This window comes from Homo sapiens, chromosome 1 (assembly GCF_000001405.40).
Source record: "Homo sapiens chromosome 1, GRCh38.p14 Primary Assembly".
NCBI lineage: Eukaryota > Metazoa > Chordata > Mammalia > Primates > Hominidae > Homo > Homo sapiens.
Genome location: NC_000001.11, coordinates 17,397,240 through 17,423,954, shown reverse-complemented (window position 1 = coordinate 17,423,954; position 26,715 = coordinate 17,397,240). Strand labels below are relative to the sequence as shown.

The window sequence follows — 26,715 nt, the reverse complement described above, 5'->3', positions numbered from 1 at the left end:
AGAGCGAGTCAGAGGCTGGTTTCCCTTCGTCGCAATTCCTTCTGTAGTCAGAGGCTGCTCCTGCAAGCCTTCTCCAGGACAGCTGGAACTCATCTTAATGGCTCTGCTGTCTGCCTTTATCACAACCTAAGGGTGAAAAGTTCATTGCTGGAGAAGGTTGCAAAACCCCCTAGAATTGCCCTGACTTCTCACCACTGTAAGATCTCCGTCAGTTTCCCCACGTCAGGTTACATGTGTGGTTTTTCTCTTATCGGGAGGGATCCGAGAGTGGCCGGTTGAATTTTTGTTTTGGAACTTGGTAGTTTGTGTTGAAACCTAGATGCGGTGTAGGGGCTCCCAGCCCTCCTTTTGGCCCACCCAACTTCCACGTCTGTTTGGAGTTGAATTTGGTTCTGCAGAGGACTTGGGGGTAGGGGTTGGCCCTCAGGCCTGCCTTCCGCTGGAATTCACAGATACAGGGCCTTGGTCGCACCTGCAGCAGTCCTGGAGGTGGGGCTGGGCGTGTTGTGTTGAGGGTGGATCTGTGCTTTGTCACCAGGGTTCCTGTGGCTGAGAGTCCTTGAGGGGCGATCCCTAGGGGTGGGATTGGCACTGTTATGTGAGCACCATTTACAGGGTAGAAAAAGGAAGAGAAATATTGGGCAGACACCAAATGGTCCTCAGTGGATGCCCAGAGCACCAAAGTGATTAAACTCTGGTGAGCCAGGTGTCAAAATGGGGTGCTGTCTTAAAATACATCTCAGAGGGTAGGGACGGGGTGGTTGTCTTGCAGGCACTCTAAGTGGGAACGGCGTGTTTCTGCGAGCATGCCCGCCTGTGCATGGTGTCCCTACCACACTGAGCCTCTCATTTCCCTTTGTAGCAGAGACGTGGGAGGTGTGCACGGGTGGTCCCGCTGCTGCCCCAGGGAAGGAGGTCCGGGGAGCTGCAGCAGGCGCCATTCCAGCGGGCAGAGGGCCGGGGCGTTCTTTGCTCTGGATCTTGGCTGTTGGGAATTTGGAGGGTACCTTCCAGAGACAGATGGGCATCATTTGAGAGTGTGTTTGTACTCGCCTTCTCCTGGTGGTGCCGCCTGGACCACCCTCTCTCTTTTCTACTTTCTCTCATGTGATCTGCAGGTCGAAATGAGAAGGGGCAGCTGGGACATGGTGACACCAAGAGAGTAGAAGCCCCTAGACTCATCGAGGGTCTTAGCCACGAAGTGATTGTGTCTGCAGCATGTGGGCGGAACCACACCTTGGCCTTGACGGGTAAGGAGGTGGCTGCTGGTGTCTCCTCTCAGTTTGGCAAGAGGCCAGGTGGTCTGCCTTGGGGATGGGGCGTGGGGTGGTGGAGTTCCCCTTGTGACTCTTGGTCAGGATCAGAAAGAGGCCCTGAGAACCTTGGCATGGAGTGGCTTCTTGAGGGCATTGGGAGCCTCCCCAGTGGCCATAGGAGGCCCATCTGGGAGTAGGAGACGCTGCCCTCTGTTTCTCTGCACACCCAGTTTCTGATGTGAAATGGCTTTGCTGTGAAGCGTCTGCACTGCCAGCTTTTGGGCAGTCTCACTTGCCTTCTGCCTGGCAAATGAGCTGTTTTTATTATTTTGATGCCTTTGATTCTAAATCTAGTTCAAAACATTCACCATTATCTTCCCTTTTGTGATATTTTTCCTTTCTTCCAGAAACGGGCTCCGTGTTTGCGTTTGGGGAAAACAAGATGGGGCAGCTGGGCCTTGGCAACCAGACAGACGCTGTTCCCAGCCCCGCGCAGGTGACCCCTCCTCAGCTCCGGCTCCATGGCTTTTTGTTTCTCTTTACTTTTGTGTTTGATTTTCTAAGGTGGGGTCTCCGTTTGAGTTAATTTACCCCTTGTAAAAACAGGGTCTGGATGTTTAGTTACATGCTGTAGAGTTTTTTTGTTTGTTTTTTTGTTTTTTGTTTTTTTTTGAGAACGGAGTTTCACTCTTTTTGCCCAGGCTGGAGTGCAATGGCGCAATCTCGGCTCACTGCAACCTCCGCCTCCCGGGTTCAAGTGATTCCCCGGCCTCAGCCTCTGGAGTAGCTGGGATTACAGGCATGTGCCACCACACCTGGCTAATTTTGTATTTTTAGTAGAGACGGGGTTTCTCCATGTTGGTCAGGCTGGTCTGGAACTCCTGACCTCAGGTGATCCACCCACCTCGGCCTCCCAAAGTACTGGGATTACAGGTGTGAGCCACTGCACACAGCCTTGCTATAGTTTTTAAAACAGGCTTAGTTTGTGGTCGGGTTGAAAACCATCCTGAAAACATTTTGTTTCCAAATGGAGAAATCTGTTAGAAATGCCTTGTCGTAAGCCTGTTCTGTTCCAAAGAAAGTGAGTGATGTTATATGGATGTAATTGTACTTCCCCCAAATACTTTGTTTTGACCTTGTATAAAGTCACCAGCCAGATGCTTAGAATACAAATACGAGATAGGCAGTCTTTTTTTTTTGGAGGGGAGACAGAGTCTCGCTCTGTTGCCAGGCTAGAGTGCAGTGGCGCGATCTCAGCTCACTGCAACCTCTGCCTCCCGGATTCAAGCGATTCTCCTGCCTCAGCCTCCCGAGTAGCTGGGACTACAGGCATGCTCCACCACGCCTGGCTAATTTTTGTATTTTTAGTAGAGATGGGGTTTCACCATGTTGGCCAGGATGGTCTCCATCTCTTGACTTCCTGATCTGCCTGCCTCGGCCTCCCAAAGTGCTGGGTGTGAGCCACCGCGCCCAGGAGATAGGCAGTCTTTTTTTTTCTAAGAAACTTGAGTTGGAGGGGTGAGATTTATACCTTAAAAACAAACTACTACTAAAGGCAGAAGAATGCTAAGTGCCTAATTAGTGGTCTAGGTGATGAAGGAAGGGAGGGACTTGGTTTTATTGATCTTAAAGAGACAGTGGCTAGGCTTTGAACTGCTCTGTGCTGGGAGGGTGGGGGTCTGAGGGTGCTTCTTTACATATCTTCTAAGCTTTGTGTTCTAGAAATGCCTTCAGCTTTTGCCTTCAGAATTACTGAGTTTATTAAACTTCCGTTTGTAACCTAGTAATTGTTTCCCACCAACATGCAGAGAGGTAGAGGCTTTTTATCAGTCTTTAAAAAAAATGAAAGTCTCCTTTCTTGTCTTTTCAGATAATGTACAACGGCCAGCCAATTACCAAAATGGCCTGTGGGGCTGAATTCAGTATGATAATGGACTGCAAAGGAAACCTCTATTCCTTTGGGTGCCCTGAATATGGTCAGCTGGGTATGGAAGTACATTTTTTAAAAGCTCTGTAATCTAACTGTATATATTCAGAACTAGAGATCAGTGTGGGGCTGCACACACGTGTTAGAAATGTGGGTAATTGATCTCAGATAATAGCCTTTGTCCGTTAAGTGGATCTCACGTTCAGCAGAACAGCGCGTCCTCATTCACAGGATTATGGAGTATTGCAACACTGCCTCAATGGAAAAGTTGGGACTGGAGTCCTACAAAAGATTTCTTTTTTTCTGATTTGGGAATTCATTTATATAAAGGGATTTCAAAGTTAAAAAAAAATCAGACCACCTTCATTCAATTTCACATTTAAAGATTATGCCTTTATTGAAAATGAGAAAATTACGGAAAATGAACGTTGTTCTGGAAACCCTGGCCTGGGCGATTATTTCGGGTTGCCACGTGAGGAGCCCTGGTGGACCCCCTCCCCGTGCGTCATCCCTAGCCAGAATCTAGTTGTCCAGAAACTTGTTTCTTCGATCTCATTGGTGGAAAAGGAGAATTCAGGCATCAGTTCTCAGTTAGTGGGGGGAGTGTCTTCCGACCTGATGGTCTCCATTCTCCTTCCCATCGGACCCTAAGTGCGGTTCCCTGAAGTGCGCTTCCCGGTTGTGGCTCTGCCTCCACTCCAGCCCCTCTGGGGAGGCCTCCGCGAGGTGTGGCGCGGGCGCCCTCTGCTGGCCGCGCGCGCTCCTGCAGCCGCAGCGCCTGGCAGATGGAAAAGGTAAAAATAGCGCCGAGCCCGCTGGCCTTAGCCTCGGGGAACAGTGACTTTGTGAAACTAAATATACTTCAAGTCAGAAGTGAATAAGAGAGAACAGCCCCTTACGCACATTTCACATTTCGCGTTGGTTGCCGTGGTGGAGCCCGAGACAGTTGGAGAGCGGTTTCCATGGCCACAGCCCTGCTGCGGTGCCCAGCAGCGGTCCGCTTCCTGCCACGTGCGCGCTCCTGCTGCCTTGGCCTCCCCTCTGCACCCCGGCAAGTCGATTTTCCGTCAGGAAGCATGACATGCTGTTGGTGATAAAAACGGCTCACTTTCATGGAGCAGTGACTGTGTGTGCCAGGCACCATGTAAGCACTTTGTACAAATTCGCAGGTGCTCAGTTACACTCAACTTGCAGGTAGTTTGGAAATCGGCTTGATTTGTAGCTACAGAATCGCTTATTCTCAGCGTATTACTTGCTTTAAGGCAGGTGTTTGTTTCGTTGTCCAAATCCAGATAGATCACTTTTAGAATGAACCTAAATCCGACTATGGCCGTGTCTCATCCACACACACTCATGCCTTGTGCCCCCTTTTTTGCAGTGCACTGAACTGGGCTGGGCAACGCCAAGATAAGAAAGACGGAGTCTCCCTCTGTCACCCGGGATGGAGTGCAGTGGTGTGATCTCAGTTCACTGCAACCTCCACCTCCTTGGTTCAAGCAATTCTCCTGCCTCGGTCTCCCAAGTAGTTGGGACTACAGGCGCCCGCTGCCACACCCAGCTAACTTTTTTTTGTATTTTTAGTAGAGACGGGGTTTCACCATGTTGACCAGGCTGGTCTCAAACGCTTGATCTCAAGTGATCTACCCGCCTCGGCCTCCCAAAGTGTTGGGATTACAGGCATGAGCCACCGTGCCCAGCCATGCCATTTAACTTTATTTTAAAGAGCTGTCACCCCTCTAGAGGGACAGGGAAGCCCGCTGTTCGATGTTTTCTGGAGTAGCTTCTGTCCTGTACTTCTGGAGAAAGCAGATGTGTGCAGCTCTTTAAAGGAGGTGGAAAAAGCAGTCACCAAATGTGCCTCCTCTCCTGTCTGGGAGTTGTGTCTGTTCAGTATCCACTGTGTCGATAGCAAATAAAAGGACTCTAATCATTTGTTGACTGCCTTGCTGAAACCTTGTCCGGAAGAGTGCAAGTGTTTAAAAATACCATTTTTGTGAGAAAAGTAGCGACATATCCGGAAATGCATTCTATTTACTGTGATGCTCTTACATTCATCGTAGCCTAGAAGGTGGGGGAATTTCTTAGTGGGGACCCTCAGACTTTTATTGTTTTTTTTGATACGGAGTCTTGCTCTGTCACCAGGCTGGAGTGCAGTGGCGCGATCTCGGGTCACTGCACCCTCCGCCTCCCGGGTTCAAGCGATTCTCCTGCCTCAGCCTCCTGAGTAGCTGGGACTACAGGCGTGCGCCACCACACCTGGCTAATTTTTGTATTTTTGGTAGAGACGGGGTTTCACCATGTTGGCCAGGATGGTCTCAATCTCTTGACCTCGTGATCCGCCGACCTCAGCCTCCCAAAGTGCTGGGATTACAGGCGCGAGCCACCGCGCCCGGCCAAGACCCTCAGACTTTTAAACGGACAGATGTTCCACTGGAAGGGATTATGTCAACAGTAGAGAACTGCTGTCATAAGACAGTGATAGTGAGCAGAGATCATGCCACCGCACTCCAGCCTGGGCGACAGAGCGAGACTCTGTCTCAAAAAAAAAAAAAAAAAAATAGAACCTGCTTATGAGATGAGTGTTATAAGGCGCCCTGTAAACAAGCCCAGGAGTTTTATTGTGTGTAGCGTAGTTGTGATTCCAGGGTGCAGTTGCTCCTTGGTAACCTGGGGGATTGCTTCCAGTACCCCCTGTGGATACCAAGATCTTAAGATGCTCAAGTACCTTATATAAAATGGCATAGTATTTGCATGTAACCTGTACACTTAAAATCATCTCTAGATTACTTCAGTACCTAATGTGATGTAAATGTTATGTAAGTAGTTCTACTGTATGGTCTTACTTGTATTGTTTGTATTATCTTTTTTTTTTCCTTGTTTCCTCCTCCCCCCAGATATTTTTGGACCACTGTTGGTTGAACCTGTGGCCATGGAGGGCTGACTGTATTTAAATAGCACAGTGCTCAAAAACACACATACCAATAAGGGCTGAGGTGCACACCAGCGTGCCGTATGGAGGGGGATTAGCCACAAGCCGGGGGCTAGTTTACAAACTGATAACAACAAGTTTTTTTGTTTGTTTTTTTTTGGAGACAGAAACTTGTTCTGTCGCCCAGGCTGGAGTGCAGTGGCATGATCTCTGCTCACTGCAACCTCCACCTCCCAGGTTCAAGCGATTCTTCTGCCTCAGCCTTCCCAAGTAGCTGGACTATAGGCACCCACCACCACGCCCAGCTAATCTTTGTTTGTTTGTTTTTGTTTTTTAAAGTAGAGACAGGCCTTCACTGTGTTGGCCAGGCTGGTCTCAAACACCTCACTTCAGGTGATCCACCCACTTCGGCCTCCCAACGTGCTGGGATTCCAGGCGTGGCCCACCGTGCCCAACCAAACTGATGATCACAGTGTGGGAACAGGAGCAGTTTAAAACTATAAACTACTTAGCAGCCCTGCTGCTGCAGGTGGCTGCAGGAGCTTGGGTGTCTGGCGTGTTCTCAGGACTGGAGCAGCCGGGCTTCTGGTGTGTGGTGTGCTGAGCTGGGTCTTTGCGAACCAGTCCCTGGGTCATTCGGAGTGTGGGAATTGCAGGCTTTAGCCACCCGTAACCATACGTTTAGGTTACTGGTAATTCATAAAAACAGAGGCCTGGGATTGTGTATGGAGCTTTTCTGTCTATTCTTGGTCTTTTAGGGGCTCCTTGTGGTCCCTCCAGTGGGGTAGAGATCTTACTTGATAGACCATTCCTTGATCAGCAGCTTCAACTTTTTTGACTGCAACCCATTGTAAGAAATAAGTTTTCTTTTGCAACCCAATCTGAACGTATAATACCTTACCTGGAATTGTTGTAACATGGTGCCATTATTATGTGTAGAGTATTCTTTGTCATTCTGTTCTATTCGTTTTTAAAAAATAACTGGTCTTAGCTCACAAAATTGATTTCACTGACCCACTCACTGTGCTGTGCCTAAGATTGGAAATGCTGCCTTTGTTGACCAACGTGTGCTGGTCTAAGGCCCAGAAGGGCCAGATTGGGGTGCTGCCGGGGCTCACTACAGAGTCCGTGTGAGCACACTGACACGTCCCTTGTGCTTGTGCTGCTGCTGATGGCCGGCTCTGTGGTCTCTACAGGACACAACTCAGATGGGAAGTTCATCGCCCGGGCACAGCGGATAGAGTACGACTGTGAACTAGTTCCCCGGCGAGTGGCCATCTTCATTGAGAAGACGAAAGATGGACAGATTCTGCCTGTACCAAACGTGGTTGTACGAGACGTGGCCTGTGGCGCTAACCACACGGTGAGGCTCGGCTTTTCTCACTTCCTGAGAGTCGCACCAGGATGGAAGGGGTGTTTATGCTCAAGTTTCCTGACGCTTGGCTTTGGCTAGGAACTGATCCCAGGTAGACATCTGCTTGCTTCTTCAAGAGGGCTTTGCACCTTGGCCAAAGGGTCCTTGGTCCCAGGGCAGGGTTCCCTGTCACTGCCTCCTATGTTAACTTCTCCCGTGATTTAAATAGACACATCTTAAACACGTAGATGTTTTGCCGCCCTCACCTGCACCTTAAGGTAAGCACTTTCTGCTTTTGGCTTTTATCTAACATAACATCACAGACATCTTTCCAGGTCAGTAGATGGTGCCCCATACTGGGGATGTGAGTCGTTTTTAATCAGTAGGTTGTCCCCCCCGCCCCCCCCCCCTTTTTTTTTTGGAGACAGTTTCACTCTTGTTGCCCAGGCTGGAGTGCAATGGCGTGATCTCGGCTCACCACAGCTTCCACCTCCCAGGTTCAAGCAATTCTCCTGCCTCAGCCTCCCGAGTAGCTGGGATTACAGGCATGCGCCACCATGCCCCGGCTAGTTTTGTATTTTCAGTAGAGACAGGGTTTCTCCATGTTGGTCAGGCTGGTCTCAAACTCCTGACCTCAGGTGATCTGCCCACCTCGGCCTCTCAAAGTGCTGGGATTACAGGTGTGAGCCACCACGCCTGGCCTAGGTTGTTTCTTTAAAGGTCACTTTAGATAAACTGCAGTGCAATCTTTTGTTTGTGTATCTTTTTTTTTTTTATTTGAGGCGGAGTTTCACTTTTTCACCCAGGCTGGAATGCAGTGGTGGGATCTCAACTCACTGCAACCTCTGTCTTCCTGTTTCAAGCTATTCTCCTGCCTCAGCCTCCTGAGTAGCTGGGATTAGAGGCACCTGCCACCATTCCTGGCTAATTTTGTATTTTTAGTAGAGATGGGGTTTCACCATGTTGGCCAGGCTGGTCTCAAACTCCTGACCTCGTGATCCACCTGCCTCGGCCTCCCAAAGTGCTGGGATTATAGGTGTGAGCCACCGCGCCCGGCTGTTAGTGTATCTTTTAATTTTAATGGCCTTCCTGTGGTTCTTCTGTCTGAGAATGCCTAGGAGTCTCTTTGTTCTATGCTTTGTTGAAAAAGCCTGGGCTAGGATTCCAGAGATCAAGTTGGTCCTCCCCACTGAGTGGTCTCAGCTCACCACCTCCTTCCCTTGGAATCTTCTTGCCGATGAAGAATGCCCAGGGAATTGGGCTAGGACTAGGGTAGGAGATTTCAGTTTGTGCAAGTCCAAAAACTGATTTGTTTTGTCTGATGTAGTCAGGGGAAATAAAGTTGGCTCTTGTTTAGGGCCTTATAGGCCAAGTTTTTTAGTAAGTTGTAGATTCCCATGGTTTAGACATGAAACATCAAAGAACTGAATTGGCATGTCAGAAGATGGGAAAACGAGACTGAAGAAGATAAATCTTAAACACTTGAAGTGTCTCTGAGTTCATTTCATCAGTGACCAGGTACAGGTTACCTCTGTACCTGTGGGTGAGGGAAGTCTAAAGAAAAATCCAGGCCGGGCGCAGTGGTTCATGTTTGTAATCAGAGGACTTTGGGAGGCCAAGGTGGGCAGATCATTTGAGACCAGCCTGAGCAACATGGTGAGACCCCCATCTCTACAAAAAAACCACAAAAATCAGCTGGGCATGGTGGTGCACACCCAAGTCCTAGCGACTTGGGAGGCTGAGGTAGGAGAATCGCTTGAGCCCAGGAGGTGGAGGTTGTGGTGAGCCGTGATCGTGCCATTGCATTCCAGCCTAGGTAACAGAGCACGAGACCCTCTCGAGGGGGGGAAAAGAAACGAAAAATCCAGGAACAGGTAGGCCTTTTCTGTTCTTTCTGCAATTGAATCTGTTTTTTTTTTGTTGTGTTTTTTTTTTTGTTTCGTTTTGTTTTTTTTTTTTGAGATGGAGTCTCATTCCGTCACCCAGGCTGGAGTGCAGTGACGCTATCTCGGCTCACTGCAGCCTCCGCCTCCCAGGTTCAAGAGATTCTCCTGTCTCAGCCTCCTGAGTAGCTGGGATTACAGGTGCACACCACTGTGCCCAGCTAATTTTTTTGTATTTTAGTAGAGATGGGTTTCACCATGTTGCCCAGGCTGGTCTTGAATTCCTGAGTTCAGGCAATCCACCTGCCTCAGCCTCCCAACGTGCTAGGATTACAGGCATGAGCCACTGCATCTGGCCGAATCTCTGTTGTAGTGGGAATCAAATGATTGCCCAACTCTCAGGAGACATAGCCCTGTTGCTTCTGATTAAGGAAAGGGTTAAGACTTGTAACTTAAATAAATAAACAGAACAAAAAAGGATTGGAAAATGGAGTCCCTGGCAGAGAAAATAGCAAACTGGGCTTATTGAATGCATGCCATTTTGCTACACTTGCTCCTGTTGCCTCCTCCCCCACTGCTGGAGGCGGGAGGTAGAGGATCTTTCTGCTGGAGGCAGGCAAAGGATATTTCTTTGGTTTTTGGAGACAGGGTTTCACCATGTTGGCCAGGCTGGTCTCAAACTCCTGACCTCAAGTGATCCACCCACCTTGGCCTCCCAAAGTGTTGGGATTAGATGTGAACCACCGTGCCCGGCTGGTAGGGGATCTTGAATGTTGCTGTTCCTTTGCCCTTAGCATTTGCACCAGGTTGTCTGCACAGAAACGATGACCCCTCTTGTTGCCTGTTGGAAGTCTGTTTGTTCCAACCCTGTGTTTTCTTTCCTTGCAGCTGGTCCTGGACTCCCAGAAGCGAGTCTTCTCCTGGGGCTTTGGTGGCTATGGCCGGCTGGGCCACGCAGAGCAGAAGGATGAGATGGTCCCCCGCCTGGTGAAGCTGTTTGACTTCCCTGGGCGTGGGGCTTCCCAGATCTATGCTGGTTACACCTGCTCCTTTGCTGTCAGTGAAGTGGGTTAGTGATTTCTGCCCCCTGGCTTATCAGTGCTCTGGTGCGGAACCGTGTAGCCATTGTCCTGTCCCTAGACCACGAACCCCAATTCTCTTTACCTCCCAGTGTTCTTTATTTTTTTGAGACAGGAACTCGTTGTGTTGTCCAGGCCGGTGTCGAACTCCTGGGCTCAAGCAGTCCTACCACCACAGCGTCCTGAGTAGCTAGGACTGCACAGGCACGCCACCACGCCTGGCTCCAGTTATCTTTTAGACAGAACACTTGTTTGCCATCCCGTCCTCTTTTCACCCTGATAATACTGAAGATGAGACTCAGCTCTCGATGTCTGGTCACGCTGGGAACATGTTTTGTCTTCCCTTAGGTGGTCTGTTTTTCTGGGGGGCCACCAACACCTCCCGTGAATCTACCATGTACCCAAAAGCAGTGCAGGACCTCTGCGGCTGGAGAATCCGGAGCCTGGCTTGTGGGTAGGTGGCAGCATCTCCTGTGGGTATGAGGTCTCTTCCTTTCATGGGGGTGTCAGACACACCCATGGGGTGCCCCTCCCTGATGGGGCTCTGTTTCTGCTGCCTGTTGGGCTGTCCTCAGCAGGCCATCTGACACACTGAATCCCAGAGTCCGGGGGTACAGGAGGGGAGAGGGCCCATTTGCTGCTAGAACAGATGGCTGTTCCCTGTCTTGTGGGAAGAAAGTCATTTTGAAGGTTTCTGTTCAAAGAAATAAACAAGCAGAGCTTGATGTATTCCTACGCTGCAGGTTGAAAATTATACGTAGTTGGAAACGTAGCAGGACTTGAGTTGCTGTGACACTGGGAAGACGACATTGTCTTGGCAGCAGTGGTTTGTAGTTCATTTCAGGACACCTGTTGAGTTAGCTAGCACTTCTTGCTGAGGAGTTGGATTTATCAGCTGGCAGGTGTGGGTGGAACAGTATGAGGGGCCTCTGTCGGCGTGGCTTTAATCTGTTGAAGGCTCTAGCCCTGCCCAAATCATTATGCATGAAGGCTGCTCCCTCTGGAACAGGCTTTCACTTTATCCTGATCTGGTCTCCTCTTCCCAAAGCGACCTCCCACTGAGAGAGAGCTGTGCAGGATGCACAGCAAGGTCCCCTGCCTTTGGCCCCTAGGCCTGTCTAAGGGCTTTGTTGTTTTGTTGAAGCGTTGAGTGGCCTGCACGGAACAATCTTAGGATTGAGGAGAAACCTGTTGGCCCTGTTATTGTGTTTGCTACTTGGAATGAGTACGCCAAGGGAAAAGTGGCAGCTCACACTCATGCCCTTGAGCCATAGCTGCGTGGGTGCAGGTCTGGGGCTGCTGGCCCTGCAGTGACAGCCTGCCTGTTTGCAGGAAGAGCAGCATCATTGTGGCCGCCGATGAGAGCACCATCAGCTGGGGTCCGTCACCGACCTTTGGGGAACTGGTAAGCTGTCACCTGTGCGGGTCAGGGGAAGTGGAAGCCAGTCAGGGTGGCTCATGGCCTTTGGGTTCTCTCCACCTGTCTCCCAAAACACACAGAAGAAAAACATTTGGGATTCCCCCCTTATTGTATTAAGGTTTGCAACACGATTGAGTCCCATGAGTTTTCAAGGACAATTCTGTGCTAGTCAGATAATTCTGAGTCATCTCTGCACATTTGTAAACTCTGAAAATTGGGACTTTTCAGATCCGGTTTCCCCTCACATTTTGTAAACCACAGTTGGGTTATGGTAGGAAAAGGGCCTGTTTGTTCCCTCTCCCCTGGAGGCCTAAGTCAGTGGGAAACTCACAGTTGTGGGTGATTTGAGGACATTCTTCATTTTTCCAAATTGAGTTTAAACCTGTGTTTCTGTTGTTAATACCAGTTACTTGAGTGATGAGGTTAGAACTCATGACCCTCAATTTCACACACGTGGCCTTCCGCAAACAAATGTCTTTCATTCTTAGATCCTGGTGCTAGGTGAGTCTTTTTTTTTTTTTTTTTTGAGATGGAGTTTCTCTGTCACCCAGGCTGGAGTGCAGTGGCGCGATCTTGGCTCACTGCACCCTCTGTCTCCCAGGTTCAAATGATTCTCAGTTCTCCTGCTTCAGCCTCCTGAGTAGCTGGGACTCTAGGCGTTTGCCACCACGCCCAGCTAATTTTTGTATTTTTGGTAGAGATGGGGTTTCACCATGTTGGCCAGGCTGTCTTGAACTCCTGACCTTAGGTGATCCACCCGCCTCAACCTCCCAAAGTGCTGGGATTACAGGCGTGAGCCACTGCACCTGGCCAAGGCGGGTCTTTGAGTTTTTGTTAGGAAGACTAGCTTGGCTGTGGAGTGCATCCTGATCTGCCTACACTAGTCATGGTTTGATTCTCCGCTTAACTCTTGGTGGTCTTAGTTTTAGTCCCTTATTTCTTGTTAGAAGCACAGTCTGTCTCCCTCTCCTGCACTCTTGTGGTTGCAAGGTACTCTTGTGGTTGATGGAGAGGAGGGGAAGGAAGGGCGTTCCTTGGTCCCTTGAGCTGTGGCTGGGATGGATGGTGAATGCACCTTTTTCTCGGGGCTCTGCACACCCTTGGAGTCTGGCTCAGATGCTCTGGTGGCCCGATTTGAAACATTGACAGGAAAGAGACAGAGCCTGGCCCAGTTTCTACAGATAGTTCTTAGAGGAGGAAGGATGTTTTCTGGGGCCTATCAGAAATAGACTTTGACCTTCTAAATATAAATTTTGAAACTAGAGGGGAGCAAGGGAGACTTTTTGGGGAGCTTCTCAAGGGTGAGAAGTTGGCCTGGCACCTTGGAGGGAACATCTACTGTGTGGGAAGGCCCGAGGTGGGGCCTGGCAGGAGATGAAACCAGGGACATGTGGGCAGGCCTGGGCTGGGGAGGGAGGGTCCTCCTCTCCCGCCCTGTGGGACCCTCTGTTTCACCTGAGCCAGGGCCTTCAGTCTTTCAATTGCCCAGCTCCACACCTTTGCACAAGACTCCCCCTTAGCTGCGCCAATTCATCCAGTTCCTTCTACCTCTGGGAGGGAAACTGGTTCTCTGGTGCCATTGCTAATAGTCTCCCTGTCACGCTTAAGCCCTTTTATTTTGTTTTGTTTTGGATGGTGATTATTCCACTCTGGATGGTGGAGGCATCAAGGGCATTTGGTCAGCCCGTGTTCTTGGTCGCTTTGGTCCTGAAGGGCCGCAGTTGCCATTCTTCCTGCACTCGTGGTGTCATCTCTTGTCACCAGTGCCATACTCCCCAGAAGGGACTTGTGCACACAGAAGTCCTGCAGGCTAGAGTTGGGCACCTTGGTCTTCCTTAGGTTAAGCGCTAGTCGCCTGCTGGTGGCACCTTTTGTGGATAAACTTGGATGATTCCACCTGGCCCTTGTGTGCAAGGGTGGCCGGGCTTGTCATGGGCCAGAGGGCATCATCACTGGCTTCTGGTTAGTGGGGGCCAGGAAATGTTGCCGTGATTCCCCACTTGTGGACTGAGCCACATGGATCCTCGATTGCGAACATCTTGTTTGCTTCGCCAGGGCTACGGGGACCACAAGCCCAAGTCTTCCACTGCAGCCCAGGAGGTAAAGACTCTGGATGGCATTTTCTCAGAGCAGGTGAGTGGGGGCAGCTGTGCCAGCTCGGGGACGTGTCCGTACCCAGTGGTATGTCACTCCTCATGATTTTGATCATCGCAGTCTGTTTGGGTTGTCTTGTTTACCATCTCAGCTGGCTTTCCTGGTGTCTCACGCTAAGATTTGTTTGAGAGGTAACAATCATTCTGCAGGAGAGAGTGCACAGGGTTGCTGGCCAGGCTGGGTGGCTGTCCTCACCCTTGATGACAGATGGCACCAACTGGCCGCAGCAGATCCACTCTCGGGCGAGCACATCGCTCGCGTCTCCATCACACCCAGGACTCAGATCCACTGGGCTGGAGGCAGGTCCGCAGGTCCACAGAGTAGAGGCTGCGTGGCTGCAGGAGTCAGATGGCGGGGTGAGGCCCCTGCGGCTCAGTCAGCCAGCCTGCTGGCCCTGTCTGCCAAGACACAGAGAGGGGTGGTGCACCTCACCCAGGCAGGATTGTGAGCCAGAGAGGGGGGGGATGGAAGTGGAGCTGGAGCCATGTCCCCACCTGTCCCTGCTGATAAGAGGTGGCCCAGTGGGCTTCCTTCCAGCTGGGTCTCCCAGGGCAGCCTGGAAGGCTCTGATTGGCAGAGCGTTGGTGGCAGTCACATGGAAACTAGCTGTCTTGGGCAGAGGGGCTTTTTGCAGTTTTCAAGGGCACTCTGTTTTTCTCCATGCTGACCCGCTTTAGCAGCCCAGTTTCCAGAGTCTCTTCAACGCATTGATTAGTCCAGGCGCCTCAGGCACACCCAACGCTGATTTGTCCCCCCAGGTCGCCATGGGCTACTCACACTCCTTGGTGATAGCAAGAGATGAAAGTGAGACTGAGAAAGAGAAGATCAAGAAACTGCCAGAATACAACCCCCGAACCCTCTGATGCTCCCGGAGACTCCTCCGACTCCACACCTCTCGCGGCAGCTGTCATTTCCATGTGCACTGGGACGGGAAGTCAAACGAGGAATTTAAAAAAGCAAAAGTTGACCGAAGGTGCATTTTTGTTTAGACTCCCTGAGGTTCCGTTTTACACATGATCCAACGTTAACTACCTTTTTTTCTGTATGCTTTCCAAAGTCCTTTTTTTTCCCTTAATGTTGAATTAAAATACTTGCTCATAGTTGATTTACCATTCCTACAAAAGAGGCAGAAACTTTGAGCAATCTAGGTTTTTTTTTTTTTTAAGTTTTTTCTTTCTTCCTCTCCTGAATACACTCCCCAAAACACCCCTTTCCAGTTACAATTAGCATCGTGATCCAAGCAGATGCCACATGGAAGAGGAATCGCCATTTACTCAGAAAAAATGTCCCTTACAGGAACCGGCAGCAGCTAGGCAGTCACCGGCCCGCCTCCATCCAAAATCACGCTCGCGTGCTTCGGAAGCATCCGGGTCACTCCTTCTCCGCTTTTTCTTGCAGATGGGCCTAGGCCGGTGTCGGTTCTGTTTCTCCCCTTGGCTGCCTGTACGCCCACAGCCTTCTGGCTGCGACATTATAGAATCGGCCGTGTCCCCCCTGGTGGGGGATTGGGGATCTGTGTTTAGCCATTTATATCTACTTTAGCTGTTAAAGAGGTCCAAATGAAAATCAGGTGATTGTGGAACCATGGGGACTTGGGGGTGGGGCAGAGGTGGGAACATTTGTATCAGTTGAGTCAGCTTGGTGGCTCCCTGTGGAGCCAGGGCTGAGCCTTGTCACGCGCACTCGCCAATTAAGAGATGGACCAGCCAGCAGTCAAGTGCATTCTCCAGTCCTTGCAAGAAGGATCAGCCCTTTCTGTGCCAGCCTCGATCGCCTTGTGCTTTGGTCTCTTTTTCTCCCCCCCGCCTGGATCCTGCCTCGCGCGGGCCGTCCTGTTGCTGAGACTCGGGGTACCGTTCTGCTGACCCAGCTCCCTTTAGTCACGTTTGCTTGGCTCTGGTACCAAATAGTTGGGATTACCGAAGAGTCCCCTTCCTTGCGTGTCAGCACGGATGCTGTGACTGCCACCTGCGTCCTCGTCAAGTGCCCGAGCTCGCCGCCGTGTGTGCTGCGCTGAGTGAGTTATGAGGTGCCTTTCCCGGAACCCTCCTCTCGCCTGGACCCAAGAGAGGCGACAGCTGTGGCTGGGGCTCTTGGTTTCCAGAGGGTCTGGACTGGTTTGGGTGCTTTAAAATAGATATTTAGTTCAGTGGTGCTTATGGGGGAGATGGGACTAGAACTTAAGTGTGAGACTTGGGTGGATGGGAAAGTTAAATATTGGTCTCTTCAAGTTTTTTTTTTCTTTTGCTTTGTTACCACTTGTCACTGTCTCCATGTTAAAATGCCAAAAATGATGTAGTTGTTGTTGCTTTTTTCCCTATTTTCCACCCCAGTCGCTCCTTACCGTGACTCCTGCCCTTGGAGGGCATGTAGCAGTGTCTGTCCTGCCAGTCCCAAGGCCCTGTGGGAGGAGACTGGCCTGCATCTCTCTAAGACTTAGTCTGACGCCACGCGCATCTCTTGTTCTGTGTTCAATCAGTAGTCCAGGGGAGAAGCTTCTGCTACTTCAGAGCTTTGCTAAACTAACCTAATTTGTCCAAATCACCCCAAAACCACCATCTCTGACGTAAGCTTCCATGCGACAGCCTGATCCGTTTCCCTGGACAGGTCTCTTTCCTGGAATGCAGCCCAGGCACCTGTGCTCCTGGCACCCTTGAGGTCTCTCCTTTGAGCCGTGGTCACCGAGAGGGTTGAGGACGCAGCACCCGAGGTCCCAGCCTTTGCAGGAGCCTCCCTGGGCTTAGCTGGACTTAGATCTTCGGTGGCCTCATGTAAACGTGGCAGCCAGCCTCTTCTAGAACCCTAGCCCAGGGACTGGAGCAGGAAAGGGACCTTCAAAGTGAAGACTGCCTTGTCCCGCAGCTCCTTCTGGCTTAGATTGAAAAATGGGCTTCCTAATGGGTTAAATCCTTTAAAACAAGGAGTTGTGGGGGAAGGGTGTCGTGCACTCCTAGAGAAAGGTACACAGTTGCCCGGTTGGGAATGTGCTTGGCGCTGACCCTGCGGGCATCTGACTGGTCTTCCAGCTCAGGAAAAAGAATTTGAAAGAGGCTTAGCGTGAAGGGGAATCAAAGAGGAGGTTGTGATTTGGTCGAAGGTGCCTGGTTTAGTGCTGTAATTGTCTTATTATTTTTTTTATATATATATTTCTTGGAGTAAACATTTTAAATAAACAACAACATTGTCTACTGTCTTGGATTTTGCATTTCTTTTTCGGTTGGAACGGAGCTCTGTTTTTCTTAACTCCTTATATGTGTACCTCCTAAGCCCTGGCACCCACAGAAGGTGGTGCCAGGAGACATGTGGCCCCAGGGGAGCTTCCAGGTTTAAACTGCACTGGTTGAAGTGAGTGGATCCCCCAACTCTGCCCCATGAAATGCTAGGGGAGTGGGACAGAGTCAGTACCTCAGTTGTCCAATTCAGAAGTGGAGTTCTTTGCATTTTCACTGGGGCTTTGAGAGGAAAAAAATAAGTCATGGGAGGCATCCAGCGCGGTGACTGCATGTGCACCCACTCCCCAGACTTCAGCAGGGGGCTCTGGTCAGGCCCCGGCTGTGGCTTCAGGCCAGTGCTGCTCTGTGCAGGCATTGTGGCCAACTGCCCACCAGAGGGCACCAGGAGGCTGGTCGTAGGTTCAGAGATCACGGACACTCTCCCTTCTAGGCTGCTGCTGAGTCTATACCGGGCAGAGTCCTAGACCAGACCCTTGCACAGGACACCGGCTCCCTGCAGCCGCAAAGATGCCTGGGATCCCTGGAACCTCGAGTGCAGGCCACCTTGTGTTGACTGGCTGAATAGTGTCCAGACCAGCCCCTCCTGGCAGGCATTGGCCCAGTTTGGGAGAGGAGGAAACGGTCTCCCATGGCCTGTTAGCTGCAGAAGGAGCATGTGCACTGTTGCAGGACAGTCCAAATGTAAAACACGGTGTTTCCCCATCTCCCCCCTTGGCAGCTTGGAGCTTCCCATCAGATGCTCCTGCCCTGGAAGAGCCCCCGTGGGCAGGGAAGCCACTGCTGGGGGCAGCGTCCCTGCTGACACACTGGCTGTTGTGTATTGGGCACATGCTGCAAATTGAGTGTCGTGTGTCTCGCCCCTGACTCCTGCAGTCCACTCCGACAGTCTTTTTGGAGACTGAGTTTCTTTCACCCAGGCTGGAGTGCAGTGGCATAATCGCAGCTCACTGCAACCTCTGCCTCCTGGGTTCAAGCGATTCTCCTGCCTCAGCCTCCTGAGTAGCTGGGATTACAGGTGTCCACCACATGCCTGGCTAATTTTTGTATTTTTAGTAGAGATGGGGTTTCACCATGTTGTCCAGGCTGGTCCCGAACTCCTGACCTCGTGATCCTCCCACCTTGGCCGCCTCCCAAAGTGCTGGGATTACAGGCATGAGCCACCGCGCTCGGTCTTGTATTTTTGAGATGGAGCTTTGCTCTGTCGCCCAGGCTGGAGTGCAGTGGTGTGATCTCTGCTTACTGCAACCTCTGCCTCCTGGGTTCAAGCAATTCTGCCTCGGCCTCCTGAGTAGCTGGGATTACAGGCAAGTGCCACCACGCCCTGCTAATTTTTGTATTTTTAGTAGAGACGGGGTTTCACCATGTTGGCCAGGCTGGTCTCAAACTGACCTCAAGTGATCTGCCCGCTTCAGCCTCCCAAAGTGCTAGGATTACAGGCGTGAGCCACCACGCCCGGCCACACAGGCAGTCTTGAAGGGAAGGCTGTTTGTTTTTTATTCCTGTGTTATAGAGGGAAGTGGGGTGCAGAGAGAAAATGGCTTTGGCTGAGGGACACAGTGGGGCGGGTAGGAAGACCTGTGCCTGGAACCACAAAGATCCTAGTAACAAAGATGGCCTCCCCTGCTCCCCCAGCCTGCCCCTGGCTGAGGACAGGGAGCCCATGTGACCTGTGGCCACCCTGGAGGGGCTGTCTTGAGAGCTTCGAGAACATCCAGGAGACCTTCACCTGCCCTTCCAGGGGCAGTGTAGGTGGCCAATACAGAGCAGCCGGGGCCTGCCAGGCCTGTGGCTGGGGGATGGGAGAAGCCTCCTGAAGTCGGGGGGGCAGAGAAGGCAGGCTCCCCACGGGCGGCTCTGGAGGTTTTTTTTTTTTAATGTCCCCCAGGCTGGAGTGCAGTGTCACAATCTTGGCTCCCCGCAACCTCCTCCTCCCAGGTTCAAGTAATTCTCCTGCCTCAGCCTCCTGAATAGCTAAGATTACAGGCACAGGCCACCACACCCGGCTAATTTCTTTGTATTTTTAGTAGAGATGAGGTTTCACCATGTTGACCAGACTGGTCTTGAACTCTTGAACTCAGGTGATTCCTCCCACTACCTCAGCCTCCCGAAGTGCTAGGATTACAGGCATGAGCCACCGTGCCCGGCCTTTGGCTCTGGGGTTTTCTCACCTGCAAAGCTGCTGCCTCCTGCTATTGTCCTGCCCCGTCAAGCCAGCAGCCTTTCTGGCCAATGTCCTCCACACTAAGCGGCTCCTTAAGCTCCCAGGGAAGAGTGAAAAGGGCTGGAAGGATGGCGAATGGGGAAGGGGACTTGCCGGTTCCTACCCAGCCCTGCTTTGCCCCGAACACCTGCCCCAGCCCCACATTGAAGGGCGGGGACCTGCGGAAGCGCCACGCGGGATGGTCAAGCTGGAGGGTCTCAGGATCCAGCTTAGCTGGTGTTCACACCAGACAATAGCAATGGAGCCCACTCTCCAGACTGGGAGGACTCAGTAGGCAGGGATGCAGGGAGGAGGGAAGGGGAGACAGGAACAGCCCCTTCAAGGCTTTGGAAGGGAAATGGGGGTCGCCCCCTGCTAAAAGCATTCTGGGCACTGAAGCAGCCTGGAGGGGAGAGGACTCGGTGCCTCTAGAGAACTAAAAGATGGCCTGTTGCAGGTTGGGAGGCACATGGGAGGGCTGGAATCTCCAAAACCCTCAGCTGCCCCCACACTGGGTCCCCAGCACTCTCCCACCCACCCCCCACCCCGCCAGCATTTCCTGTGATTTTTGTTCTTTTTTTTTTTGAGACGAAGTCTCACTCTGTTGCCCAGGCTGGAGTGCGGTGGCATGATCTTGGAGCCTCTGCCTCCTGGGTTCAAGTGATTCTCTCAACTCAGCCACTCAGCCTCCCAAGTAGCTGGGATTACAGGTGCATGCCACAATGCCCCGACTAATTTTTGCATTTTTAGTAGAGACGGGGTTTCCCCATGTTGGCCTGGCTGGCCTTGAAGCCCTGGCCTCAAATGATCCACCTGCCTCAGCCTCCCAAAGTGCTGGGATTGCAGGCATGAGCCACTGCGCCTGGCCCCGTGTCTGCTATGCAGGCAATGGAGGGTTTTGTTTACTTCTACAGAGATGTGGTCTCCCAGCCTTCAGGAATGAGAGGTGCCACGTGTCTTTCTAGGGCTTTATGTAAATAACTCCAGTCCTCAGAACAACCTCGAGACAGGCACAACTCTTACCCACTTGCGCTGGTGAGGAAACTGAGGCACAGAGCCCACTTACCTTGTTTTCTTGCCTTTGGCCAGTACAGGGAGCATTTCCTCTCCTTCCCTACAGCAGTAGTGCAAGCATGGCGCCAAATGACCACTGACCTTTGCAGGGGAACACAGTGGGGAGGGATGGGGACTGGGGCCTGTTGGAGCACATCTTTGTCTAGAGGGTGTGGCCAGTGAGTCTTCAGCCTCGGGCCCAGTGTGGTCAGGTCTAAAGACTTGGCAGCAGGAGCTGGAAATCCAGACTTTGAGTAAATTGTCAGTGCCTAACTTAGAGACGTTTATAACACTGTGCAAGCCAAGTACACCCAGCTCTCTGCTGCAGGTGTCTGCTAACAGCCAGGGCTGGGGGGGTGCTTCTCCAGGTGCTATCAGGATGGTGCTGCCTGGGAGGTAACAGGAGAGAAGGGTGTCAAGCTGCCAAGATTTCCTGCAGGACCCTTAGGCAGGTGGGGCGGGAGGGGCCCAGGGCTGACCTGAAAAGCTCTGGGTGAGGGTCTAGTTAGGGTCAGAGGAGGGACCAATTCATCCACCCTAAGGCAGCCCTTGGTAGAGGTGGGCAAGTTCCCTGGGAAAAGCCCATGGGGGTGGAAGAGTGAACCTTTTGTCCCCCTTCTGGCCCTAGGGCTTTCCTCTCCCCTTTTTCCCTAGAGATGGAGCCCCAAGCCCTTGGGGTCCAGAGTCCTCTATTTCTTTTGGCTTTTCTAGACTATCTGAAAATGCAGATGAGCTCATCCATCCCTCCCCATATTTGAAGGCCTGGTCTGTGTCAGTCCCAGGCTGGTATAGGGGTCAGAGCCATGAATACAACAAGAGGTCTCTAGTGTAGTCCATAAACTCTGCACCACCATGGGCAGGTTAACGAGATGTCGTAAGATGTCCTGGGGTAGCTGGCACACCAGGGCACAGCTCTTGGATAAAAACCCACATCTGATCCAGAGACCAGCCCTGCTGCCCCAACCCTGGCTTCTGCCTCGCTTCCTTAGGATGACCCTCCTCCACTGCCCCAGCAGCTGGCAGAGGCTGGCCAGGTCCTGCCTGCTGCCCACAGAGCCCCAGGTGTTAGGAAGGGGGCTAGTTTGAGGCCCAGCTCTGCCTTCAACTCCCTGTGGGACATGGACACAGGGCTCCCTTCTCAGGTTCTACCCTGAGGATTAGAGTGTCCTAGAGTCATCATCATCCAGGAGGAGCAGGGTGGGAGCCACAGCGCCAGTTAAAGCTTAACAGCATCCCTGTACCATTAACACAGGGGTGGTCAGATGGGAATATGTGGCTTTGGGCCCTGGAGGGGACATTTCAGGCTGAGGGTCAGCCCAGGTCCACCCCTGCTGTGCCTTCTCAAAGAGGCCACACCTACAGACCCAAGGAGACCAGAGCCTCCACTTGCTGAGGCCAGCTGCCTGCCGTGCATGGCACCACCCCCACCGTGGGCCTGCCCCCTCCAGGTCCTACCAGTCCCAAGGGGGAGGCCCTCGACCTTCCTCTAGCCTGGGCCCTGGACTCTAGACCCAGCTTGTCCCAGTTGCTTAAACCAGAGCAGCATTTGGATAATCTTAAATCCATTTGGATAATCTAAGTCCATTTGGATAAGTCCAACCACTTCCTGCCACGACATAATTTAGAGATGAGGGGAAGGACAGCAACTGATGTAGCCAAGTCTCTCCCCCCACACAAGCAGGCCAGCATGGCCATAGGTATCTCAGCTCAGCCTTGTCCTCAGTTGTCACTTATCCCCTCCCCAAACAAGGAGGTCACTGCCAAGATGCATTCACACCCACCAGCCCTTTATTGGCTATTTAGTAAACGTCACTTGGCTGAACACTTTTGCATCTTTTCCCCATAGGGGTTCAAGCTGGCGGCATTTGCCATCCTACTGGGTCCGAGGGTCGGTCGGGGCAGACAGGGAAGAAAGGGTTCTGTTGCCTGGACTCTCCAGCCTCCTCTACTGGGCAAAGAATCATGCTGTTGCATGGTGACAGTGGGCCATCCACGCTGGGGCAGAGCTGGCAGCTCCAGGGCCTGGGTCTAAGGTACCATCTTCCACCATTTGAAGGCAAAGGGCACCCGGCGGATGTTGGCACAGGCACAGATGTCTCCGACCTCTGTCAGGTAACAGTCAAAGTCATTGATGAAGGTGCACTTGAAGCCCAGGGGCTCCAGCAAGCAGCAAATCTTTTCTTCCAGGCAGCAGGTCCCCTTGATTTGGGGCCCAAAAGGCTTGGGGATCCCCAGGTTCTTGCCCATCACAATCATCCGCAACTGTTAGAAAGACAGGGTGGGTGAGGCCTGGACAGGGATCAGAGGCCTGAAAGCCAGCCGCCCACCTGCCTCTCTGCGGTCAGACCAGGCGTAGCAGGCAGGCAGCCGCCTCCTCCAGGTCAGTGAAACCCAGCTCACTTTTGCTTAGCCCTACAATGGCTGTTTCTCAACAGCCAGATAAAATCCTGCCTGGCCAAGGTCTGGGATTGTCAACTTCTCTAGTTTCTACGTTTCGATTATTCTGGCCTCTTGTCACCTGGATACAACACATGGCTGCTGCCTCCACTGAAACACTCTCCCCACCCCCGCTTTGTCAGTTGACTGCTGCGCATCTTTTGTATCTCAACTCCTCCTCAAAGCAGCTTCTTACCGTTACTCACCCCTGCCGGACCACACTGAGCTGATCAAGTTAGAAGACACCCATGTACAATTGGAGCATGCAGGGCCTGTGTCCCTAGGACCCAGGGAAGAGGTCAGCAGGTGTTTAGAGAATTGGGGCACTCAAATGCCTCAGTTCATTTTACACACCTATATAAGGGGTCAGTTGTTACATGAGAAAGTTCAGATGTGAGCCACAGTCGGCATAGGCTTGGTGAAGCCAGGACCTCTTGTACTCACAGCCCCACTCTTGACTATAACTTCTGGTTTAGAATAAGTAGGAACAGAATTTAAAAAACAAAAACAAACAAACAAAAAAACAAAACAGTTTTGCTCTTGTTGCCCAGGCTGGAGTGCAACAGGGTGATCTCCGCTCACTGCAACCTCCACCTCCCAGGTTCAAGCGATTCTCCTGCCTCAGCCTCCTGAGTAGCTGGGATGACAGGCATGCACCACTACACCTGGCTAATTTTGTATTTTTGGTAAAGACAGTTTCTCCATGTAAGGCTGGTCTCGCAGTCCTGACCTCAAGTGATCTGCCTGCCTGGGCCTCCCAAAGTGCTGGGATTACAGGTGTAAGACACCACGCCCAGCCCCAGAATGTTTTTTTTTTTTTTTGGTTTGGTTTATCAGACAAGGTCTTGGTTTGTTACCCAGGCTAGAGTGCAGTGGCTCATTGTAGCCTCCACCTCCGGGGCTCAAGAAATTGTCCTGCCTCAGCCTCCTGAGTGGCTGAGACTACAGGCATGTGGCACCACACCCAGCATTTTTTGTTTTGTTTTGTTTGTTTTTTTGGGAGACAGTCTTGCTGTTGCCCAGGCTGGAGTCCAGTGGTGCAATCTTGGCTCACTGCAACCTCTGCCTCCTGGGTTCAAGGGATCCTCCTGCTTCAGCCTCTGATTAGCTGGGATTATAGGCATGCACCACCACACCCAGCTAGTTTTTTGTATTCTTACTAGAGAGTTTCAACCATGTTTGCAGGGCTGATCTCGAACTTCAGACTTCAAGTGATCCACCCACCTCAGCCTCCCAAAGTGCTGAGATTACGGGCATGAGCCACTGCACCCTGGCCCCAGCATTTTTTTTTTCTTTTTTTTAAAGTTGCAGGGTCTCACTATGTTGCCCTAGCTGCTCTCCAACTCCTGAGTTCAAGTGATCTTCCCACCTCAGCCTCCCAACGTACTAGAACTACAGGTGAGCCACCACGACCAGCCAAGCAGAATAAATATTAGAGACGGAGTTTCAGTCTTGTTGCCCAGGCTGGAGTGCAATGGAGTGATCTAGGCTCAATGCAACCTCTGTCTCCGGGGTTCAAGCAATTCTCCTGTCTCTGCCTCCTGAGTAGCTGGGATTACAGGCATGTGCTACCACACCCAACTAATTTTGTATTTTTAGAGACAGGGTTTCTTCATGTTGGTCAGGCTGGTCTCAAACTCCTGACCTCAGGTGATCCACCTGCCTCGGCCTCCCAAAGTGTTGGGATTACAGGCATGAGCCACTGCGCCTGGCCTAGAATGTTATTTTAAGGGCTGATGTACCTCTATGTATCAGACACTGCTGCCCTGGACCCTGGAGATAGCGGACAGGAAGACCCACCCTGAGGTAGGTTGCTCAAGGCCTCGCTGCTGGCAGATGCGCGGCAACCTCGACTCTGGGTTGCATAGCACCCCATCCGAAGTGGGCCTCACAGGTTCACCCTTTTAGACTGGGGGCGCAGCTCACTGAGGCTCCTAAAGCACCTGGCCCAGGGCCTGGCCCATAGTAACTGCCTGGGGAACCTCCAAGCCTTCAGGCCCTGTACACTTGCTCTCTGGGTGGGGCGTCCCTAACCGAGATGGGGGAGAAGGGGTCTCCCTCCCATTTCCTCATAGGTACCGTTATCTGCTGTCCACCATATCTGCAGTCCAGCACAGTGAGGTGGCAGCCAGTGTTGCCTGGACAGGCCCTCCCCCACCCAGGGATGCGCAGTCGCCCCTCACCAGGTCAGGGAAGTATGGCCTCGCAAAGGACCTCTTGGGCTGCTGGTCAGAGGGGATGTTAGTCAGCTTCTCCAAGCAGAACAGCTGGGGAATCTCGATGATGTCCTGTTCCACCAGGCCCAGCTCCGTCTTCAGGATGTCACGGTTCAGGTGAATGCACTTCTGTGGGTGGGTGGGTGGGTGGGGGGGGGGGCGGGGGAGCAAGGAGAGCTCATCAGGAATTAAAACCAGTTTCCTTCCATACTGAAGGTAGGTGATGGCCTGACACCACTACCATCCCCATCACTTGCTGTGTGCCAGGAGCCTCACACTTCATACCAGCCTTACGAAATAGGCAGTTCCCTTTTCACATGGGGAAGTAGGGGCTCAGGAATGGCCTAGTCTTTAGTCCAGGATCCCATGGCTAGACAGCGTCTGGCACTTCTCAACCCAGACCAGCTGAGCCCAATACCCAGGCATCTCCCTAGGTCTTGAAATAGGCTTCAGACATAACCCAACACACCTGTCTCCCTAGGTCTTGAAATAGGCTTCAGACACATACCCAACACACCTAAGCTGTCGCCAGGGGCTGGGAGATGCTGTCTCAGCCCCATGCCTGGCTGGCACCCACCCTGCTATGCCAGGGGGGCTGTTCTTGCAAAACAGGGTACCCATGCACTGTGCGGGGCATAGAACATTCCTTGGGAACATTCCTGGGAATGTTAAGGACCCAGTGAGAGAAGCAGTTTTGCTGACCATGCAACCTCAGCCAAGAAATTACCCTTCTCTGGGCCTAAGCTTCTCCTTCTACAAGTTGGGGAGACTCTGCTTCTTATAGCCAATGATTCACTTCTAAGATCTCTGAAGTTTGGTGACCCTGAACACCATCCTCGGGACTGCTGTGATGGGCCACTTCATCCAGAAAGCATTGAGTAGTCCCTCGTCTATTTGAGTCTGATACTCAGCTTCTCGGAAGTGAGGAGCCGGCTTCTTCAAGGAGGCTGCGGAGCTATGTCATTTTCCGGGAAATGGACCCCAGGCAGCTTGAGTATAATGAGCAACACATGAACTTGGGAGTTCAGACTCATTTTCCCAAATGATTGTCCTGGGCTAGCGGTTTTACTGTGTGCCTCACTACCCTCATATGTAAGAGGTGTTTTACTTTATAGGGCTATCTGCAGGGTTTGTAGTTTTATAGGGCTATCTGCAGGGTTTGTAGTGAGGTATCTCGCAAAATGCTTGGGCCATCATTGGCTCTCAGCTAGGAACCTGGATAATCAGGGCTTTCCCAGCTTGGGGGAAAAGATCCAGCTGCATAGTCATAGCAAAGTAAACTCCCTCTGACAGTATCTGCAAGTAATATCTGTCAACGGTCCCGACATGCCATGGCGCTCCTCCCTGCCCCTGTCCCACCCTGGGTCCTCAGCCATCTGACACCATAGAAAGCTGTGTTACCCACTTCCAGCCCTCTTCCAAGCATAAAGGTACATCGTGCTGTGTTTGACTCCAGAGACCTAACTCCTTACTCCTCTAGTCTCCCTACATTGGCATATGGCCAGCTCTAGCCCCAGACCTGGGCCTGTATCAAGACCTGGAAGAAAGGGTGGCAGGCAGCTGCCCCCCGCCGCC

At 51.9% G+C, this 26,715-nt stretch overlaps 2 protein-coding genes and 1 non-coding gene across 4 annotated transcripts in view, besides 4 other annotated features; 1 reads left to right on the top strand and 2 right to left on the bottom strand.

Moving 5' to 3' along the window:
• Positions 1-17,195, top strand: part of RCC2 (regulator of chromosome condensation 2) — a 32,918-nt gene extending 15,723 nt beyond the window's left edge. For both annotated transcript variants that reach the window (NM_018715.4, NM_001136204.3), the window contains 9 exons: positions 1,119-1,250; positions 1,664-1,752; positions 3,127-3,241; positions 7,309-7,475; positions 10,238-10,418; positions 10,777-10,882; positions 11,761-11,833; positions 13,904-13,981; positions 14,761-17,195. In NM_018715.4, the coding sequence (NP_061185.1) occupies positions 1,119-1,250; positions 1,664-1,752; positions 3,127-3,241; positions 7,309-7,475; positions 10,238-10,418; positions 10,777-10,882; positions 11,761-11,833; positions 13,904-13,981; positions 14,761-14,865 (1,046 nt within the window). In that variant the 3' untranslated portion in view covers positions 14,866-17,195. The remainder of the gene's footprint in view (positions 1-1,118; positions 1,251-1,663; positions 1,753-3,126; positions 3,242-7,308; positions 7,476-10,237; positions 10,419-10,776; positions 10,883-11,760; positions 11,834-13,903; positions 13,982-14,760) is intronic.
• Positions 1,150-1,904: an enhancer, noted in NCBI's record as "H3K4me1 hESC enhancer chr1:17748547-17749301 (GRCh37/hg19 assembly coordinates)". NCBI's record gives its function as "activates a minimal SCP1, AML or CMV promoter by ChIP-STARR-seq in primed H9 embryonic stem cells {active_cell/tissue: H9 hESC(primed)}" and the evidence as "EXISTENCE:reporter gene assay evidence [ECO:0000049][PMID:30033119]".
• Positions 3,634-4,168: an enhancer, noted in NCBI's record as "H3K27ac-H3K4me1 hESC enhancer chr1:17746283-17746817 (GRCh37/hg19 assembly coordinates)". NCBI's record gives its function as "activates a minimal SCP1, AML or CMV promoter by ChIP-STARR-seq in primed H9 embryonic stem cells {active_cell/tissue: H9 hESC(primed)}" and the evidence as "EXISTENCE:reporter gene assay evidence [ECO:0000049][PMID:30033119]".
• Positions 6,108-6,978: an enhancer, noted in NCBI's record as "H3K4me1 hESC enhancer chr1:17743473-17744343 (GRCh37/hg19 assembly coordinates)". NCBI's record gives its function as "activates a minimal SCP1, AML or CMV promoter by ChIP-STARR-seq in primed H9 embryonic stem cells {active_cell/tissue: H9 hESC(primed)}" and the evidence as "EXISTENCE:reporter gene assay evidence [ECO:0000049][PMID:30033119]".
• RCC2-AS1 (RCC2 antisense RNA 1) lies at positions 16,573-17,194 on the bottom strand. Its single transcript, NR_170323.1, has 2 exons — positions 16,951-17,194; positions 16,573-16,638 (listed from the first exon to the last, which is right to left on the bottom strand).
• Positions 22,184-23,120: an enhancer, noted in NCBI's record as "H3K4me1 hESC enhancer chr1:17727331-17728267 (GRCh37/hg19 assembly coordinates)". NCBI's record gives its function as "activates a minimal SCP1, AML or CMV promoter by ChIP-STARR-seq in primed H9 embryonic stem cells {active_cell/tissue: H9 hESC(primed)}" and the evidence as "EXISTENCE:reporter gene assay evidence [ECO:0000049][PMID:30033119]".
• PADI6 (peptidyl arginine deiminase 6) overlaps positions 22,256-26,715 on the bottom strand; it is a 29,504-nt gene continuing 25,044 nt past the window's right edge. The window contains exons 15-16 of the mRNA NM_207421.4: positions 25,108-25,269; positions 22,256-22,750 (exon numbers count right to left, since the gene is read on the bottom strand). Of these exons, the coding sequence (NP_997304.3) occupies positions 22,517-22,750; positions 25,108-25,269 (396 nt within the window). The 3' untranslated portion in view covers positions 22,256-22,516. The remainder of the gene's footprint in view (positions 22,751-25,107; positions 25,270-26,715) is intronic.